The 16,753-nt window shown below is 38.4% G+C and overlaps 1 protein-coding gene across 22 annotated transcripts in view, besides 1 other annotated feature; it reads right to left on the minus strand.

Annotated features, from left to right (window-relative positions):
* Positions 1-16,753, minus strand: part of RGS7 (regulator of G protein signaling 7) — a 582,489-nt gene that overhangs the window by 290,260 nt on the left and 275,476 nt on the right. The window lies entirely within an intron of this gene.
* Positions 1,435-2,025: an enhancer, noted in NCBI's record as "NANOG hESC enhancer chr1:241229736-241230326 (GRCh37/hg19 assembly coordinates)". NCBI's record gives its function as "activates a minimal SCP1, AML or CMV promoter by ChIP-STARR-seq in primed H9 embryonic stem cells {active_cell/tissue: H9 hESC(primed)}" and the evidence as "EXISTENCE:reporter gene assay evidence [ECO:0000049][PMID:30033119]".

Genomic DNA, 16,753 nt, shown 5'->3' on the forward strand with positions numbered 1-16,753 from the left:
TTAGCTGCCTCATCATTGTATTTTAAATGTGGCCTCACAGAGAAACCATGGATTTTAGAATCGGGAAGATACACCTCCACCACTTATTAGTTATGTAAATTTAACAAGCTAATTTGTCTGTGTGAGTCTTGATTTTCTCAGCTATAAAATGGGGACAATAGCAAAAAATAATGATAAGATAATCAGATTAAAAGATATATCATAGAGATATATATATATTATCTTTTAATATATATTAAAAGATATATTAAAAGATATATCTGTAATAGAGATATTACAGATATATTATAGATATAGATATAATAGATATATGACAGATATATTATAGACAAACACCTGGCAAATGAGTGGGCTTACACTGGGTACTCCCCAAAATTTACCCCCACCCCTTCCAAATTCTGCCAAATTTTATAGAGTAGCTATATAAAAATTATTTTTATGTGTTTTCTTAAATGCTCTTCTTAAGACATTGGCCCTTATGTTGTAGGAAACACCTCGATGCCAGGTTGAAGTTCAATACTTACGTTAACACATTATCTTTCTATTTTATATCAATGGGAGTTATTTAAACCACCATATTTCTTTTCAGCTTAAATTATCAGAAAATTTAGATGTGAAATTAATGCTCAAAATAAAAAAGTGTTTCTCCTCTCTATATTACTTATGGTTATTCTTAAAAACAAATCACCCATTTACTTATTCAACAAATCATTTTGGCCATCCAATAAATTTATTGAGAGGGTATATCCTCAAGAGGAAGAGCTAAGTCTTATGCCTGCATGTAATACACTTTATTTATTAACTGAGTGATGATGGACAAGCTATTTCTTAGCCTCAAACTCCTCAAATGTTAAATTAGGCTAATAATAGTATCTCGCAAGATTGTTGCGGGGATTACATAAATCATGTACTTAGAACAATACCTGGCATTTGGCATGCACTATAGCAATGTTATTTAGTATTATTTACCAAAGAATAGTTACTGAAGATACACAGTAAAAAAGCATCTTAAAAAGGTAAAAAGAGTATATAAACTTACCTAAGTGGAAGTTAAGTGTAGCATAAAGTATATCTTATAAATGAATAATGGAGTAAATGAAATTCTTATTCATCTCATCTAATGCAAGAAAACTCAACTACCAACATTATGGAATTTTGATTTGATATCACTCCTAACTCTATTTTCACTCTCCCTGAAGGTGTTCCTCATTTTCCCTCCTTGAGTCTGTCTATATGCAAGAATGGATGAGCAATCAGAAATGTGTGCTCACTGATATGTGGATATAGACCTCTGAAGCATCTACCCCATTCTAAGATGGTCCCTGCTCAAAGGGATCATGCTGAAGAAAGGTGACCCTTCCAGCTCAGGTTTGCTCTGATCTCCGTAGCATAAGCAACACAAATAAAGAAACTATAGTCATAGGACTTTCGTTAAATGCTTAGTTGAAGATCTCAATTTCTGTTTGCTTCTCCTTAGCCATATTCCAAGTTCATTACCATTAAAAATAAAACAACATGTAATCTTAATATATACAATTAGCAACACTGTGTGCTCAACGTGTCTTTCTTAAGTTCTTGCAGACTTCTTTCTTTTCTCCTAAGAAACCCCATCTCTTTAGATGAGCCCAACTATTCACACTCTTTCCTCTCGCTCCTCAAATTATAATCACCGTCACATCAAAGACCCACTAAAAGGCACTCACTGAAGCTTTTAAATTAAGGTACTTGAATGACTTAGAAATAGGAATCACAAAACAAATCTATTTACATGCATTTGTGCAGAACATTCCTAAATGTTCAGGTGACACTGACCTACTAGGCCCTTTAGCTCGCTATGTGAGGAAATAAGATAGAATCTTCAAAGAAGTTTGGTTGTCAAGAAGCCTCTGGGACCAGTGAAACAAATAATTAACTTATAGTGGAAAGAGAGGACAAGAAATGTTTCCCTCTGGGCCTGAAATACAGTGTGCTCTACTTTGCATAAGTTAACATCGGGAGGTTTGAATTTTCCAAAGGGCTTAGTGGCTAATTAGCTGTGTGAAGTTGCCCATAGTGTGTCCTTAAGACTAAACATTCCCATTTCTCATAAAAAGCTGTAATAGTTACATGAAGCAAAAGAAATTATCTCTACTATGTGTTTGGGGTTTGTCTTTCTTGTGGCCTCCTTTTTACTTCTATTACAACACTTACGACACAGTACTATGAAGATCAACTCTCTCTTCCCCACTACAATGGAAGCTTTCGAAGTATAAGGATTGTGTCTGACTTAACTCTGTATTCCATGCTCCTAGCTTGACATTTAGTAGGCTCTGTATTCCATGCTCCTAGCCTGACATTTAGTAGGCTCTGTATTCCATGATCCTAGCTTGACATGTAGTAGGCATTCAATCAATAATCAGTGTTTTTCAGATAAGTGGGCTAGTATGAAGACCACCGAGAGCTATCCTTCCAGGGCTTTAAACACCTCTATACTCAGCTAGTAGAACATTCAAGTAAAATACAGAAACCTACTGAATAATGAGATTTTTTTTTTTTTGAGATGGAGTCTCAATCTGTTGCCCAGGCTGGAATGCACTGGCACGATCTCGGCTCACTGCAACCTCTGCCTCCCGTGTTCCAGTGATTCTCCTGCCTCAGCCTCCTGACTAGCTGGGACTACAGGTGTGTGCCACCCCAGCTAATTTTTTATTTTTAATAGAGATGGGGTTTCACCATGTTGGCCAGGCTGGTCTCGAACTCCTGACCTCAGGTGATCCACCTGCCTCGGCCTCCCAAAGTGCTGGGATTACAGGCATGAGCCACTGCACCCGGCCTACAATGAGATATTTTCTAAGAATAATACCTGCAAGTAGATTAATTATTATAGGCATAATTTTAATCAGAACAATAAAAATTTATGTTTTCTAACTAGTTTCGGGCCTAATAGTTTAGATGCATAAGGAATTGCTCCCATCTGAATGTAGACAGAGAGTATGTGATGGGCTGAGTCCAAGAAAATGAAACCATAAAACCAAAGTCCTACATTTAAAATTTTAAAAAGCAGCAAGACAGAATGGAAGACAGCGACTGAAACACATGAGTTTTCCTGCTGACCACAAGCACCCTAGCAGTCAGAAGTGGGATGAAAGCTAATAACACAATACTCAGCTGCATTAATTCAGTGGGTCAGTATTTTTATCAGAGAGAGTAAACTTTACTTTGCTTTTGGGTTCTATCCATAAATTGTGTGTGTGTGTGTATATATATATATATATATAAAATATTGTGTATATATAATATTACGTGTATAATCATGTTTTAAAGACCTATATTTAGTTGCACTAAATAATCAAAGCTAAGGAAATCTGGATCTTGTGAATTTCCTCTAGCTTCTTCTCCTTATTCTGCTCTATGATAGCTCACAACCATAGCTAAAACATCCTGAGCATCTTCTATCAGCAGTCAGGTACTACAGTAATACATTACCTATATTCACTCATTTAAGATTTACAACAACTATTATTACTCTCTTTACTGCAGATGAGGAAACAGAAGCACCATAAAACTGGGGAACCAGTCCAAGGTCAAAAAGTTTATGAGTGGAGGAGCTGAGCTTGATCAAGGGAGTGTGGCATCTGAGTCTGAATCCTGATCCCTGTCTCACATCATCTTTTCTCGAGACAGACTTGGAAATGGAAGACAGAGGGAAGCAGTGTAGTTTATTTTAGTCTTGGTGAGTGGGAGAAAGATGTTTAAAATATGGATGCAGCTTAGACGTTGATATAGTTTGGATGTTGTCCCTGCCCAAATCTCATGATGAAATGTGCTCTCCAGTGTTGGAGGCGGGGCCTGTTGGGAGGTGACCGGATCATGAGGGTGGATTTCTCGTGAGTGGCTTAGTATCATCCCCTTGGTACTGTTGTTGCAATAGGAAGGGAGTTCTCATGAGATTTGGTTGTTTGTTTAAAAGTGTGTAGCACCTCCCCCTCCTCTTGCTCCTGCTTTTCACCTGTGTGTGTCTGTTCCCCTTTTGCCTTCTGCCATGACTGGAAGCTCCCTGAAGACTCCCCAGAAGCAGATGCCTCCATGCTTCCTCTACAGCCTGCAGAACCGTGAGCCAATTAAATCTCTTTTCTTTACAAATTACTCAGTCTCAGGTATTTCTTTACAGCAAGAATGTCCTATAGAGATGTGGATACTTTTTTCCCCCAATCTTGGCCACTATCATGTCCTTTAAGTTATCAGAGATATATAGGTGTGTTTTCAAACCAGTAGTGTATTTTTGTATAAATAAGAAATTAGCAATTGATTCTCACTTATTCCATTTCTCCAGAGATACAATGCTGACACATCCCGAATTTAAAAGCATTTTACCACCTAGTGGTGGGTACCTTGAGAAACTGCCAGATACTCCAATAGCTCAGAGCAATAAAGAAGAACGGGGGAAAATTTGCTAACATAAATTTTAAGTGGAACCATTTACATCTTGGTAAATCTTCCCTATATGTCAATAAAAGAAAAATAAAAGCATTATATTAATAATAATCATAATGAGAAGAAATTATACAGTGATATCAATTTCCTTGGGGAGGGTGGATAGTAGTATAACACGCTTCTCATTTATTTAATTTTTCATATGTGGCTTTTTGTACTACTGAAATGGTAAACCATCCATGAGGGTGTGGCTGAAAGGGATGTTTAGTTTATGTACAAAAATGCAGGAGAAGCACACCCCTAGTCCTTCACTGACATATTTCCGAAACATCAGAAAATATTCTAATCAAAACCGCTGTTGATTGGAACAGGATAATAGAAAATTCAATTGAAACAAAAGTAAATGAAAGAAGAAAAACAATCGGAGTCTCTATTAAAGAAGAATTTATATGTCATGAATTCCTTCTATTTTACTGGGTACCTTATTTGATCATTTAATACTTGCAACAATGTTGTGAGAAAGGTATTGGTATCCTCATTTTACTGATGAGAAAATTGGGTTTCAGATACTGTAGGTGCTCAATGTCACACACAAGTTAGGCAGGTTTCAAAGAGGTTCAGATGACAAAGCCTCTGCCTAGGATGACACCTCATCTAAGAAGGACAGCAGTCACCTGCTCACAGGGAGGTGATCCACACTTGTGCTCTGATGCCAAGTGTCAGGTGGACAGAGGTGAAGAGACATAACATCTGGAAACATGAGTAGAAGAAAGCTCACCAGGAGCAGCAGAGCTGGTTATTTTCGTGAAAGATAAATTGATGGGTTGCTTGCTGATAGCTTGCAGTGCTATTCCAGATAGGCTGGTAACCCAAATAACTTGTGGAATTCTCCACAGCTGAGGAGAAATGGAAAAAAAAAAAAAAAAGCACTAGCCAAGAAGTCATTCGATTATGCTAAACAAAATCAATTCATTTATGACTTTTCACTTTCGTAAGGTGGGGAATGAGTGGTTTCTTAACGTTCATCCAGCAATTGTTTTCTAGCCTCATTGCACGACTGCTTTTTAAGTTCACCTTGACCTAAAGGCAACCTTACAAAATGCTTTGCAAAGTTGTGGAAATGTTGCATTCCACATGGTTGTGAATAGAAAGAGCTTCTTGAGGCCTTGATTAGAGCTGGGTGGAGCTAAGCCTGAAACAGATGATGGCTACACTACACTGCAGGCCCAGCTGCCCTGCCCATGGGCACAACAGCAAACCCAGAGACAGTGCAGGGAGGCTGGGAATGGGTCAAGTTTAAATTAGGCACAGGATTTGGCAAGCCACTACATAAAAATACAACAGCCCAACAGAAGGCCACGTTTGGGTAGCCAGCCGTCGTCAAGTGCAATGTGGGAGGCGCCCTGTCTGGAAGAGAAAATGGGAAAGAATCCACCATAAGAACATGACTCAAAGAGGTCAGTGATGGGCATAAAAATATGTCCATTGCTTCTCAGAAATCTTGCCAAGAGGACTGGATTTCTAATACCAGCAAGCACCAAGAAACAGAATAAGAAGAACTAGATTGTCCTCCTTTTTCTGATGTTTACTAAACCTCTATTTTCTAACTATATTGGTGGCAGGTAGCATTTTCTATAAAAACCTAGCTTTCTCTGGTACTTTTACTTTTTTTCTGCCTCTATAGAAATTTCACCTTAGTTTATAGCTGGAGGAACATACTCTTCATTTAATTTTCCTATCTGCCTTGCTGGGCAGGTGGTTTTGGACTGAACTGATTACATTTTAGGTAACAGGATATTTCTCAGAGACAGCATGTCTTGCTGGGTATTTTGGGATTCATGGAAAATAAAAAGAAAAAATGAAAAGAAATCCATTCACCTTTCATGGCAGTGATTTAGTAGACATTCTGTGGTCTCTATTAGGAACTGACCCGAATAGAAAGCTAGATTAGCCTAAAAAAATAAAAAAATGTAGAATCTGGTTTACAAAACTCCTTAGTTTCTGTTTTTATGCCTTAGAGAACATGTATGAGTTCAAATATAATTACAAATAAGTAAAAATATGTCAGGCCTATGTTTAAGTGTTTTTTTTTTTTTTGTATTTACTAGCAGTGATGTTTTTGTCAAAACATTTTTATTCTCTGATCTTTAGTCACTTTACTGTAAAATGAAGATGAAGTCAGCTCTGCTTATCTCACAAGTCTTTTGAAAGACTCCAATAAAACACTGTGTAGAATCTTCGTTAAGCCTTAGGTGTTCAGTTAATTTTAAGGTATAATTTTACTATCTCTACAAAAAAATTTAAAAAAAATTAGCTGGGCATGGTGGTATGTGCCTGTAGACCCAGCTACTTGGGAGGCTGAGATGGGAGGATCCCTTGGGCCCAGGAGTTCAAGGCTGTAGTGAGCTATGATCACACTATTGCACTCCAGCCTGACAGATGACAGAGTGAGACCCTGTCAAAAAAAAAAAAAAAAAAAAACAAGAAAGAAAGAAGAGGAAAGAATATACTATGTGATAGTTGTTAATTAGAATTTTATTTTGTCTTATTGAAAAATTTCTTCTCACTTTGAAATTTACTAGAGTAAGTTGGAATTATTAGTTTTTCAGAAACAGAGAGAGCTGGAAAGCCATCTTTATGACATCCCTCATTACAGACCAACCACCAAGTGATCTAACTGGTACATATACCTTGAAAGACATCTGATAAACACAGAGCACACCTGATGAGTTAAGCCAGGTGGAGGTAAAAGCTACATTTTTCATTAAAATACCACAGTGCTGGAAATTTCTAAAAGACCTTGAGTGGTGATAGTTGTAGGGGATGCCCTGGCCAAAGTGGCCTGTGGCGTTGCATGCTCCCACAAAAGCCATGTAGGCAAGACTCAATGGCGTTGGAACCGTGTCTGGGCAGAATGCTCTGTTTTCCTTTCTGGAACATGGCATGATGAGCAAGCTATCCACGGCTGTCGCAGGCCATTTCACATCCACCTCCCTATCTTGCAGGAGGCTCTGTGTCCTGCCGAAGGTTGTCATGAGGCTCTTTCCCATCAACCTACCTGGTACCAGTGAGGCATGGAATTTTCCCCCTCGCCCTTCTTGGATACAGCTGCGGACCGTAAAACCATTCAGCTCTAGTATGAAATTGACTTCTCAACTACAGAGTGGCTCACTCCCTGTGATGCGTGTTTTCCGGTCCCTCCAGGTTGATGGTGTCCTGTGGGGACAGGGATGAGACCCTGAAGAAGTATATGCTGGGTTACTGAAGCTGAATCAATGCTTTTCTCCAGGTGTGTGTATTTATGCACCTGTCTTTTCTCGAGGGGACTCCCTAAGCTCCCAGCCAGGTAATATGCACACGATAGCACCAGAGGCAGGATGGAGAAAGGAGGTCAAGCTCTCCAAGTTCAGTAATATAGGCATGTATTTACATGCCTTTTCTATCCCAGGTCTTGCCACTGTCTGGTGTTCTCAAGTCAGGAGCTTCTCAGTATTTTCAAATAATAAACCTCTGTGGCCTCCCTGGGAGGCTGCATGGAGTAGGGGAAGACCCTGGAGATCTAGCTTCCTCTAGATCCATTCTTACAATAAATCCATCTCTTTCCAGCCCTGTTCCTCAATCTCATTTCTCATGGTGCTGAGTTCCATGGGGCAAACTGGTTCATTAATCACAGGTATCTCCATGTTGAGAGCTGGGTTGTAGCTCTATCCTTTCTGCTAAGGCAATTACTGCTCTTCCATCACTTCCCTTCCTTTATTCCAAAAAAAACCCCACATCTTTCATTCATTATTTCCTTCTGTCCTGTTCTCCTTGTCCTTGTGGATTACCACCTTTCGAACATTTCTTTATTGCAGCTTCTATTGGTTTGGGGAAGAACGGGAGACTAACTCTACTGGCCAGTTTTCCATCTGTAATGATAAATTCCCAGCACAGGTGGGTGGAATATGCATCCTTCTTGTATTCTTAGTGCATTTCACAGAACCTGACTACAGAAGGTGCTCAAAAAAAAATCAGTATTGAAGAGGTGGCTACATACAACAAATGTACACTTTGGCTACAAAGTTAGATAAACTAGCTTGTTCAGCAAACATTTTCAGAGTATAGTATTCTATACTAGGACCCTTGACACTGGATGCCAGGGCAGATAAAACACAATTCTTATTCTTTATTGTCAGTAATGTGGTGAAAGTCCCTTGGAATCGGGTGAATCTGCAAAATTTCAGTGGGAACAAGAGCATGCACCACCCAGGCTTATGTCCTAGTCTTTCCAGGGTCTGGGAGTAAGAAAAAGATACAGAAACCTGATTACAGTCATACAGTTAATAAGTTAACAGACAACACCCTGTGGAATTAATTCACCTTTCAATATTCATTATAAATGCCGTCTTCCTTCTTTGAATCTCTGCAATTGTGGCAAGCCAAGTTTATGCCGTACCTTAGCGATAAAAGTAGAGATGATTAACTGTCTTTCTGTCTTTGTCTCTTCGTTCCTTTTTTTTTTTTTTTGATAGAGTCTTGCTTTGTTGCCCAGGCTGGAGTGCAGTGGCACGATCTCAGCTCACCGTAACCTCCGCCTCCCAGGTTCAAGTGATTCTCGTGCCTCAGACTCTCGAGTAGCTGAGATTACAGGCATGTGCCACCAGGCCTGGCTAATTTTTGTATTTTTAGTAGAGATGGGGTTTTGCCATGTTGGCCAGGCTGGCAAACTCCTGACCTGAAGTGACCCACCCATCTCAGCCCCTCAAAGTGCTGGGATTACAGGCTTGAGCCATCATGCCCTCCTGTCTCTTAGTTTGTTTTAATTTTAAGAGGAACAATGGTGCTTTGTTTTGGTTTATGCCACCCAAAGAAATAGAAGTATGCAACTTTAAAAGAAAATTTTCAGCCAAGGGTAAAAACATAAAAATAAAAATAACCAAATTGGTGTCAGATGCAAAGAATCCCTTGAAAATTGGTGAGGATTGAGGAATAGAGAAGGATACTGAAGAGGGATCTATTATTCAAAACTCAATTACCAGAAACCCAAGTTAAACTAAAGGAAGTGGGAATTTAATGTCTCAGTAGCTGCAAAGCTTCAGGTACAGCTGGAGCCAGGTATTCAAACGCAATTGTTAGGTTCTTCCCTCTTCTGTACTGGCTTCACGTTCAGACAGATTTCATTCTCGTGTTTACACCTAACAGCTTAGCAATCAGTGCAGAAATATTCTCTTTCCCCAACAGTTCTAGCGAAAGTACTGGCCACAAGTCTCTGACTTGCCAAACCTGAGTCACATTCCTCCTCCTCACCCTCACTCCAGAGGACTGGGTTGCCCTGCTCAAACCATATGAACCGAGAGTCAGGTCAGGTTGTTACACAAAGGAAATCCAAGGAAATGTTGCCAGGAAAAGGGGAGAAGGCTTTTAAGCCAGTATATGCGGTAGCTACAATTAGTGTAAGATAATACTGGCCCTGGAGTTTTGGCTGCATCACCACTTAAAAAAAAATTTAAGTTTTGAATTAAGCCAAATTGCTTAGCACAGAAGGCTGGTTTGGAGTGTAGCTATTTTTGAATTATTTACTGAGCTTCCCACTGCATTTGCCCCCCACAACTCTTAGCATCCATCTCTTGCTAAAAGGCCACCTGACCAGAATGTTAAGAGAAATATCCAATAGCCTCTACAGAAAGAGTAGAATATTTATTTTTAGCTTTATGATATTTGTTCTTAAATGCTTTTCAGCCTGGAATGACTTCAATGAGATTTGTACATTTAAAGGCTGCCAAAAAAAGAAGGGGGAAAAGTCGAATATTAAAGAAAATCTCACTCACATCCAAAAGTGGAAGATTCTTTAAACTTTTAAAGAAAATGTTAGTTCTATTTTTAACTCACTTTTGGGTTGTCTAAGGCTTAAGACTAACATAAGAAGAAATAGGTCGAGCAACAAAAACTTGAAAACCAAAAGATTTTATACTTGGGAATTAACCTTTTATTAACCCTAACCCTAACCCCCTTTTGACGAGGAGAAAAAGAGAGAGAAAGGAGACCCTTCTATGTGCAATTCAGGGTTCAGTCATCTCAGAATTTTCCATATACAGGCCCTAGATCAGGGGTGTCCAGTATTTTGGCTTCCCTGAGCCACATTGGAAGAAGAAGAATTGTCTTGGGCCATACATAAATCACACTAACACTAACGATACCTGATAAGAAAAAAAAATGCAAAAACGTCTCATCATGTTTTAAGAAAGTTTACAAATGTGTGTTGGGCCACATTCAAAGTCATTCTGGGCCACATGCAGCCTGTGGGCCATGGGTTGGACAAGCTTGCCCTAGATGATTTTTCTAAAAGGAAATTTGTTCTGAAAGACAGTAGTCAGTATACCTTTACACAATTTCATGAAGATGTCTGGGTTATGAGAATTGTCCTACTAGGAAGAGCTACCAAAATAGCTCATCACCTTGAGGTACTGTGGAGTGAAAGTGACCAGGTGCTTTACATCAAGTTTACACCAAGCTTTACTTTCCAAACTTTTTAAACTGTCAGTACAACTCCTTTTGAACATATCTTCTAGGTTGGCTCTTGGAGTGATACATCCATCACCCCATTCTACTCCAAATTCATTTGAAATTGGCAATTTTCAGGTTCCAACTTGCGATGGCTTAACACTCCAGGCCTCCCTAAGATGGCACTGAACATAGGGCAGCCCTCCTGGAGGACCCCACAGAGAGGCCATGGAGCATGAGAGTGAGCTGTACCTGGCATGATGTATGCAACGTGGCTTATTCTCTTTGATTCAGGTTTTACGTTTCTCGAATGGAGCCTCTTCTAGGTTGCTATCCATTTACCTCCCCATCTCTCTCTCTCTTTGCCTTTTCCTGGTTGAGTCCTTCCCGGGTTAACCCAGCCCTCCTGATGGCTTCCCTTCACTTTGAAATCCACAGACAGGAACAACTCTACATTTAATGATAAACTGTCTTACATTCCTCCCTAATTAGTTCAAATTGAAAGTTTGCTCTCACATTTGGAATTTTAGTATGGCTATGATAAATACTTGTGGGCTCCTCACTCGGAGCAATCTCTGAACAGACGATCTGAAGCTAGATATACAACATTCTCATATAGTGTTCAGTGTGAATCAATATCAAAGTTTAAATTCCCAGTGATATTAATGAAAGAGGTGAGAATTTGTTGCTCATATCAATAAGAATTAGACCTAAAATCACACTAGTGATCTTTGGACTTAATTTAGTGTTCATTCATTTAGATACAAACTGAGTGTATAGTTTCTGTTTAAAGGAAGAGTATTTTGTCCGTGATCACCGGTGCACCCAATGGCCAATTGATTTCTGTTTACATTCTGATAATTCTTTGCTTATCAGATCATTTCACATGAGAATCAAGCCCTCTGCAATAAGCAGTGGGAAAAATTTTAGTCGGTGAGAAACTCCAACGCCTCAAAAGAAAGAGTGTAACTTTCAAAACTGTCATTTTTGTTCTCATGGTAAAAATCTGACTTTGTGTCAATCATTCCCCAAATCTTCAGTTGAGGAAAGAGGTCATGCTCTACATTAATTACAGATGACAAGCTAGAGACAAAACTAAAAGTCCAACCTTATAACTTCGCTTTTCTGCCTCTCCCTGGTCAAAACAAACCCTCTTATACCAACTATTCTTTTTTATCACTTGAGTGCTATGTACAGGGTAAAAGTAGGATTACCTCAGAATAATAATTTCACACATAATTTTTGTAAGAAAAGGGTTCATGATAATACTTTTAAAAATAAACAGCTAGCCCAAATATTCCTCCATAACAAAATGTGACAAAAGGAAGTTAGAACAAAATCTTAATTTACACAGAAAGTAAAACTGTTTCCCTGTAAACAAGCTGGGCTGTCATGAAAATGGATAAGGGTTCACAGAAATTTGACCCAAAGAATAAAGAATGAACGGATGACACAAAAATGGCTAACTGGATAAAAATATGTTCTGTGTGATTAATAATAAGTCTCCAAATCACAGTACTTGGAGAGAAGGGATGGGCATACTACTGTGGAATTCTGGATGTGTCAAGATCTGGCCTGGGTTCTGGGAACACTGGATCTCTTTGTTCCTCTCTCTGCTGTTCAGGGACAGTGGAAGGGGAGGAAAAAGGGATCGTGGTCCAGTGTACGTGGCTCAGGGACTGGGCCTCTGGAAGCCACAGGGACCAGCGATAGTCACACTTCTTCAGCCCTCCAGCGATTGCTCTCTGTTTCTGTTCTGTTTTCACACTGTTATCCTTCAGCACAGCTCTGTGCGCTGTTTGCCTCTCCTCCACTGGTGGCTGCTCTCTGCTAAATAAGCATGCCACTTGTTCACTGGGTAAAGTGAAAAAGACGTTGCTTGTAAAATAATTGAGTCTCCAAAAAAAGAAAAAGAAAGCGTCTGGATCACTATCCGTGTCACCCCTACCCTGAGAAGTCTCTTACCGGGGTGACTTTTCTTCAAAGAAAGCATTTTCCAAACTAAGTGCAGAATGAAGCAAAAAACAGGAAAGAACTCAGATTATTTTATGACGTCACATGATGCTGAATTACAGGGTGGAAAGAAACAGAAACACAGACCACTGACTTATTGGAGAGAGAGAGATATATATACCATGTATACGTAATATTATATGTCATATAAAATATATTTAATTACATATAATATATATTTATAGATCTCCATGGCCTGTGCTTCTATGGAATCAAATTGTTGTGTATGCATCTATGGGCATATACAGAAATATTATATATTAATATATAAATAATATATATGTTGTTTAGATGGAGAGAGATCAGAGGAGCACTGACCATGGAAATATAGATAATATACAATATATATAAAAACATATAACATATTTTTCCTGTGATATGTGCTTCTGGTCTCTGTGTGTGTGTGTGTGTGTGTGTGTGTGTGTGTGTGTGTGTGTGGCATAAACTGATACTACAAAAGCACAGATCACCAAAATAGTATATATAAAATATATATACAGCATATTATGTATTATATAATATGTGGTCTGTGGTCCTAGATATCTATACACACATAATGCACACACACACGTAAGTTATGTGTGTGTGTGTGTGTATATACACATACATATACATATCCTAATCTGGTAGCACTTTTGTTGTTGTTGTTTAGATTCAGGGGGTACATGTGCAGGTGATCTGTATTATTTATTCTTCCTTGTTCCATATATATTAGATTAACCAAGATTTAAATATCAGCTCTATTACTAACAGTAACACCTGGACCAAGTTATTTAACTTCTGTTTACTTATAAGACCATAAATATATAAATTAATACATTTAAGGAATACTTACTGAATGCTGGTAGAGTATGAGCACTTAATAAATGCTAGTAGTTGCTGACAGCACTTATGACCAAAACACTTTCACAATCATATATGCATCAGAGCCAGGGCTGCCGTTTAAAATATAATGTTCTCATTTGCAACGGGAGAAATGGCACGAAAATCCAGGCCCCTCTACCACCGGTATGTACTCTTTCCACTACTCAGACAGAGGAATACTTACATTTGAATGAGAATATCCAATCTTCTAAAAATTAACTGTAAACCAAACGACAAAATTTAAATGGAGAGTGTTTGGGGGGCTCTGGAGGAATTTGAAACTTGTATTTAATTTCCTGGCTCTTCATCCTGAAATGCGTCTAAGCTAGTAACAGACAGCAAAACCGAGTTCCTATCTCTCTAGTGTTCCCTGCTGAGATAAAAGCGATGTGCAGCACCGGATGCCAACAGAGCAAATAATTACACTGAGTGCTCTTTCCACAGCCAATGAATCGGAAAGTGAAATTTTTGTGGATGCACCTGAGTGCTGGGGACATCAGCTGTCCTATGAGAAGTCATTAACATTTTCTGAATGTCTACTGTGTGCCAAACACTGATTACTAAAGAGGACGCAAATTGAAATGAGAGATTATTCTTGTACTCCAGGTGCTTAAAGCCGTTATTAAGGATCATATCACATGTCCATCGAGAATAAAATGTCAGGTAAGAAAAATTCCATGAAGAAGAACAGAGTGCTAGGAAAATGCAAGAAAAGGAATGATTAATGCCAGCTAGCTTGGGGAGGGGGCTATGATGAGAGAAAGGCTAAGGACAGGGACAGTGAGACAGGGACAGTTCTCTCTCCTAGAATTATTAGGAGGTAAAAATTTGGAGCTCTTCTACTTATGATTAAACAGAAAGAGGCATGAGGAGAAAACCAAATGATGTCATCAGAATAAAAAGGCACTGCAAAACAGTAGATTATACATGCACCTTGAATGTGCTGTCTGATAAATCAGCATTTTACAAAAACACATCCGGACTAGCAATTCAGAAGAAAGCAATGTTAATGCATTAATTCAAAGAGAGCAAGCCATCCCCACCCTCACCCCATAGGCTTTTATTTATTTATTTATTTATTTATTTTAGCAGCCTATAATCTCTAGGATTTAAAAAAATAACTCACCAATGAACAGAATTAAACTTCTCAGGTCTGTTGCTTTAAAGAATAGCCAATATTTGTGAGAAACAATTTCAAGAGAAGATTACTACAAAATGAAAATGTAATATGTCTGCATCAGTTAAATCTCCCAAAACAAATTTGCAATATTGCCTCTGACTTTGACGATTTTATTCTTTCAGTAACAGTCCAGATGGCATCCAATGAGTATTGACATCATCATCATAAAAAAAGGCTAAGAAAGTCAAAATGGGATTTATTTAGGACAAAAATTAATATCAATAGATAATGATCTTAAATTTAAAGGATGAGGCATGAAAAAAACAATTAATAAACCTTTTATCTTCCTGGAAGATTTCCATTTGATATGTATAGTCATTTGTTGTGAGGAATAGAAAAAAAAAAAGACACATTAAAGAGTGTAAAAGGCTATAAGGTACCTTGAGAATGTAGAAAATAATTATTATTTAATGAAAGTGATAGCTAAGAATTCAAAAAATACCCTTTGGCTATCTGATAAGAAAACCTATGCCGATACTATAGCAAATCTAACATAAGTAATTTTTTGGCCTTGCAATAGATTAACTACCTAGGACGTAAGAAAATGTCTAAATCTGGGCTTAATCCAAGCCTCTGGAGGTGGTAATAAAGTCATTAATAATAATGGTAAAAACTATAATAATCTTTTCAGTTTTTGCTCACCTTCTATGTGTTCCATACACCAGTTAGAAATACTGAATTGTCCAGTGACATCACCATAAAAAATAAGGATAAAGTCCAAATATACCATTTTTTTCTTGTTCATCTGTTGTGTATGCGTTATCCAGAGTCACTCTTTTAGAACCATATATATTTTTAACACATGACTGGTAACAAGTTCTACCTTTTAATTACATAGGCTAAGTAAATTACTAACATCTCTTTTATGTCTGAAAGCTTCCTTTTCAAGGAATGCCTTCTTATGGAACCTCTCAAGCTCTGTGAAGTCTGCCTGAAGACTGGATTTAAAAATAGCATAAAATGGTCCTAATTTAATTTATGGCCTGAGGAGCCCATATTCACGTGGTTTCGAATATGGGTAGGATTGTTTTCTTTTTCTGTCCAATATCCTCCCACCTCACTCAAGACCTTACGTGGTCTTATTGATCACGGGAGCACACTGGAGCGGTGACTTTATGAACTAGGCTATCCGTGACCCTTGGGTCCCTTTAATGGGCCTTAACTGTTAGTGCTGAACCTGCCCTCCCAAAAGTCACCTTTGCATTATTTTTCATAAATGTATTATTTTCTATGTGGGTCAACTGGATCTCTCTTGATAACTTTCTGTTCTTCACATATCTCAATGTTCTCATCTTTTTTTCTTTCTTGGCTTAGATGCCCACTTTTTAGTACAGTCTGACATAATCTGCAAGTTTGAAAATTCCAGATGCCTATAAAGATAACATTTAAATGCTAGCTAAGATAAAACTCAACACCAGCTGGGATCCCCCAAACTTCCAGAAAGTTGTTTGTTTATGCCTGCACTATGTTTGCTGCCTTTTATGCCACTCCTTAACCTGCCAAAACAGTCCCAAACACTGCCATGGAGAGGCCTATTTGGGGTAGAAATGTATTAGAGGTTTGGGGAAACACTAAATAAAGTACATCGATTTCCCCTTTCCTCAAAGTCAAGAAACAAAGTTACAATCTTAGTGAAGTTCAATATTTCTTCATAGACTCTTGGCCTTGTGCCTGCACAATGAATGGATCACGTCAGGTTCCCATGTAGGGATGAGAGAACAGGAAGTTCATTCCTATGATTCTTGGAGTCTTTTTCAGAGAGTACTTAAGGATAGGCAAACAGTATTCTGTAGGCACAGTGAT

Source organism: Homo sapiens, chromosome 1, assembly GCF_000001405.40.
Source record: "Homo sapiens chromosome 1, GRCh38.p14 Primary Assembly".
In the NCBI taxonomy this organism is placed as follows: Eukaryota; Metazoa; Chordata; class Mammalia; order Primates; family Hominidae; genus Homo; species Homo sapiens.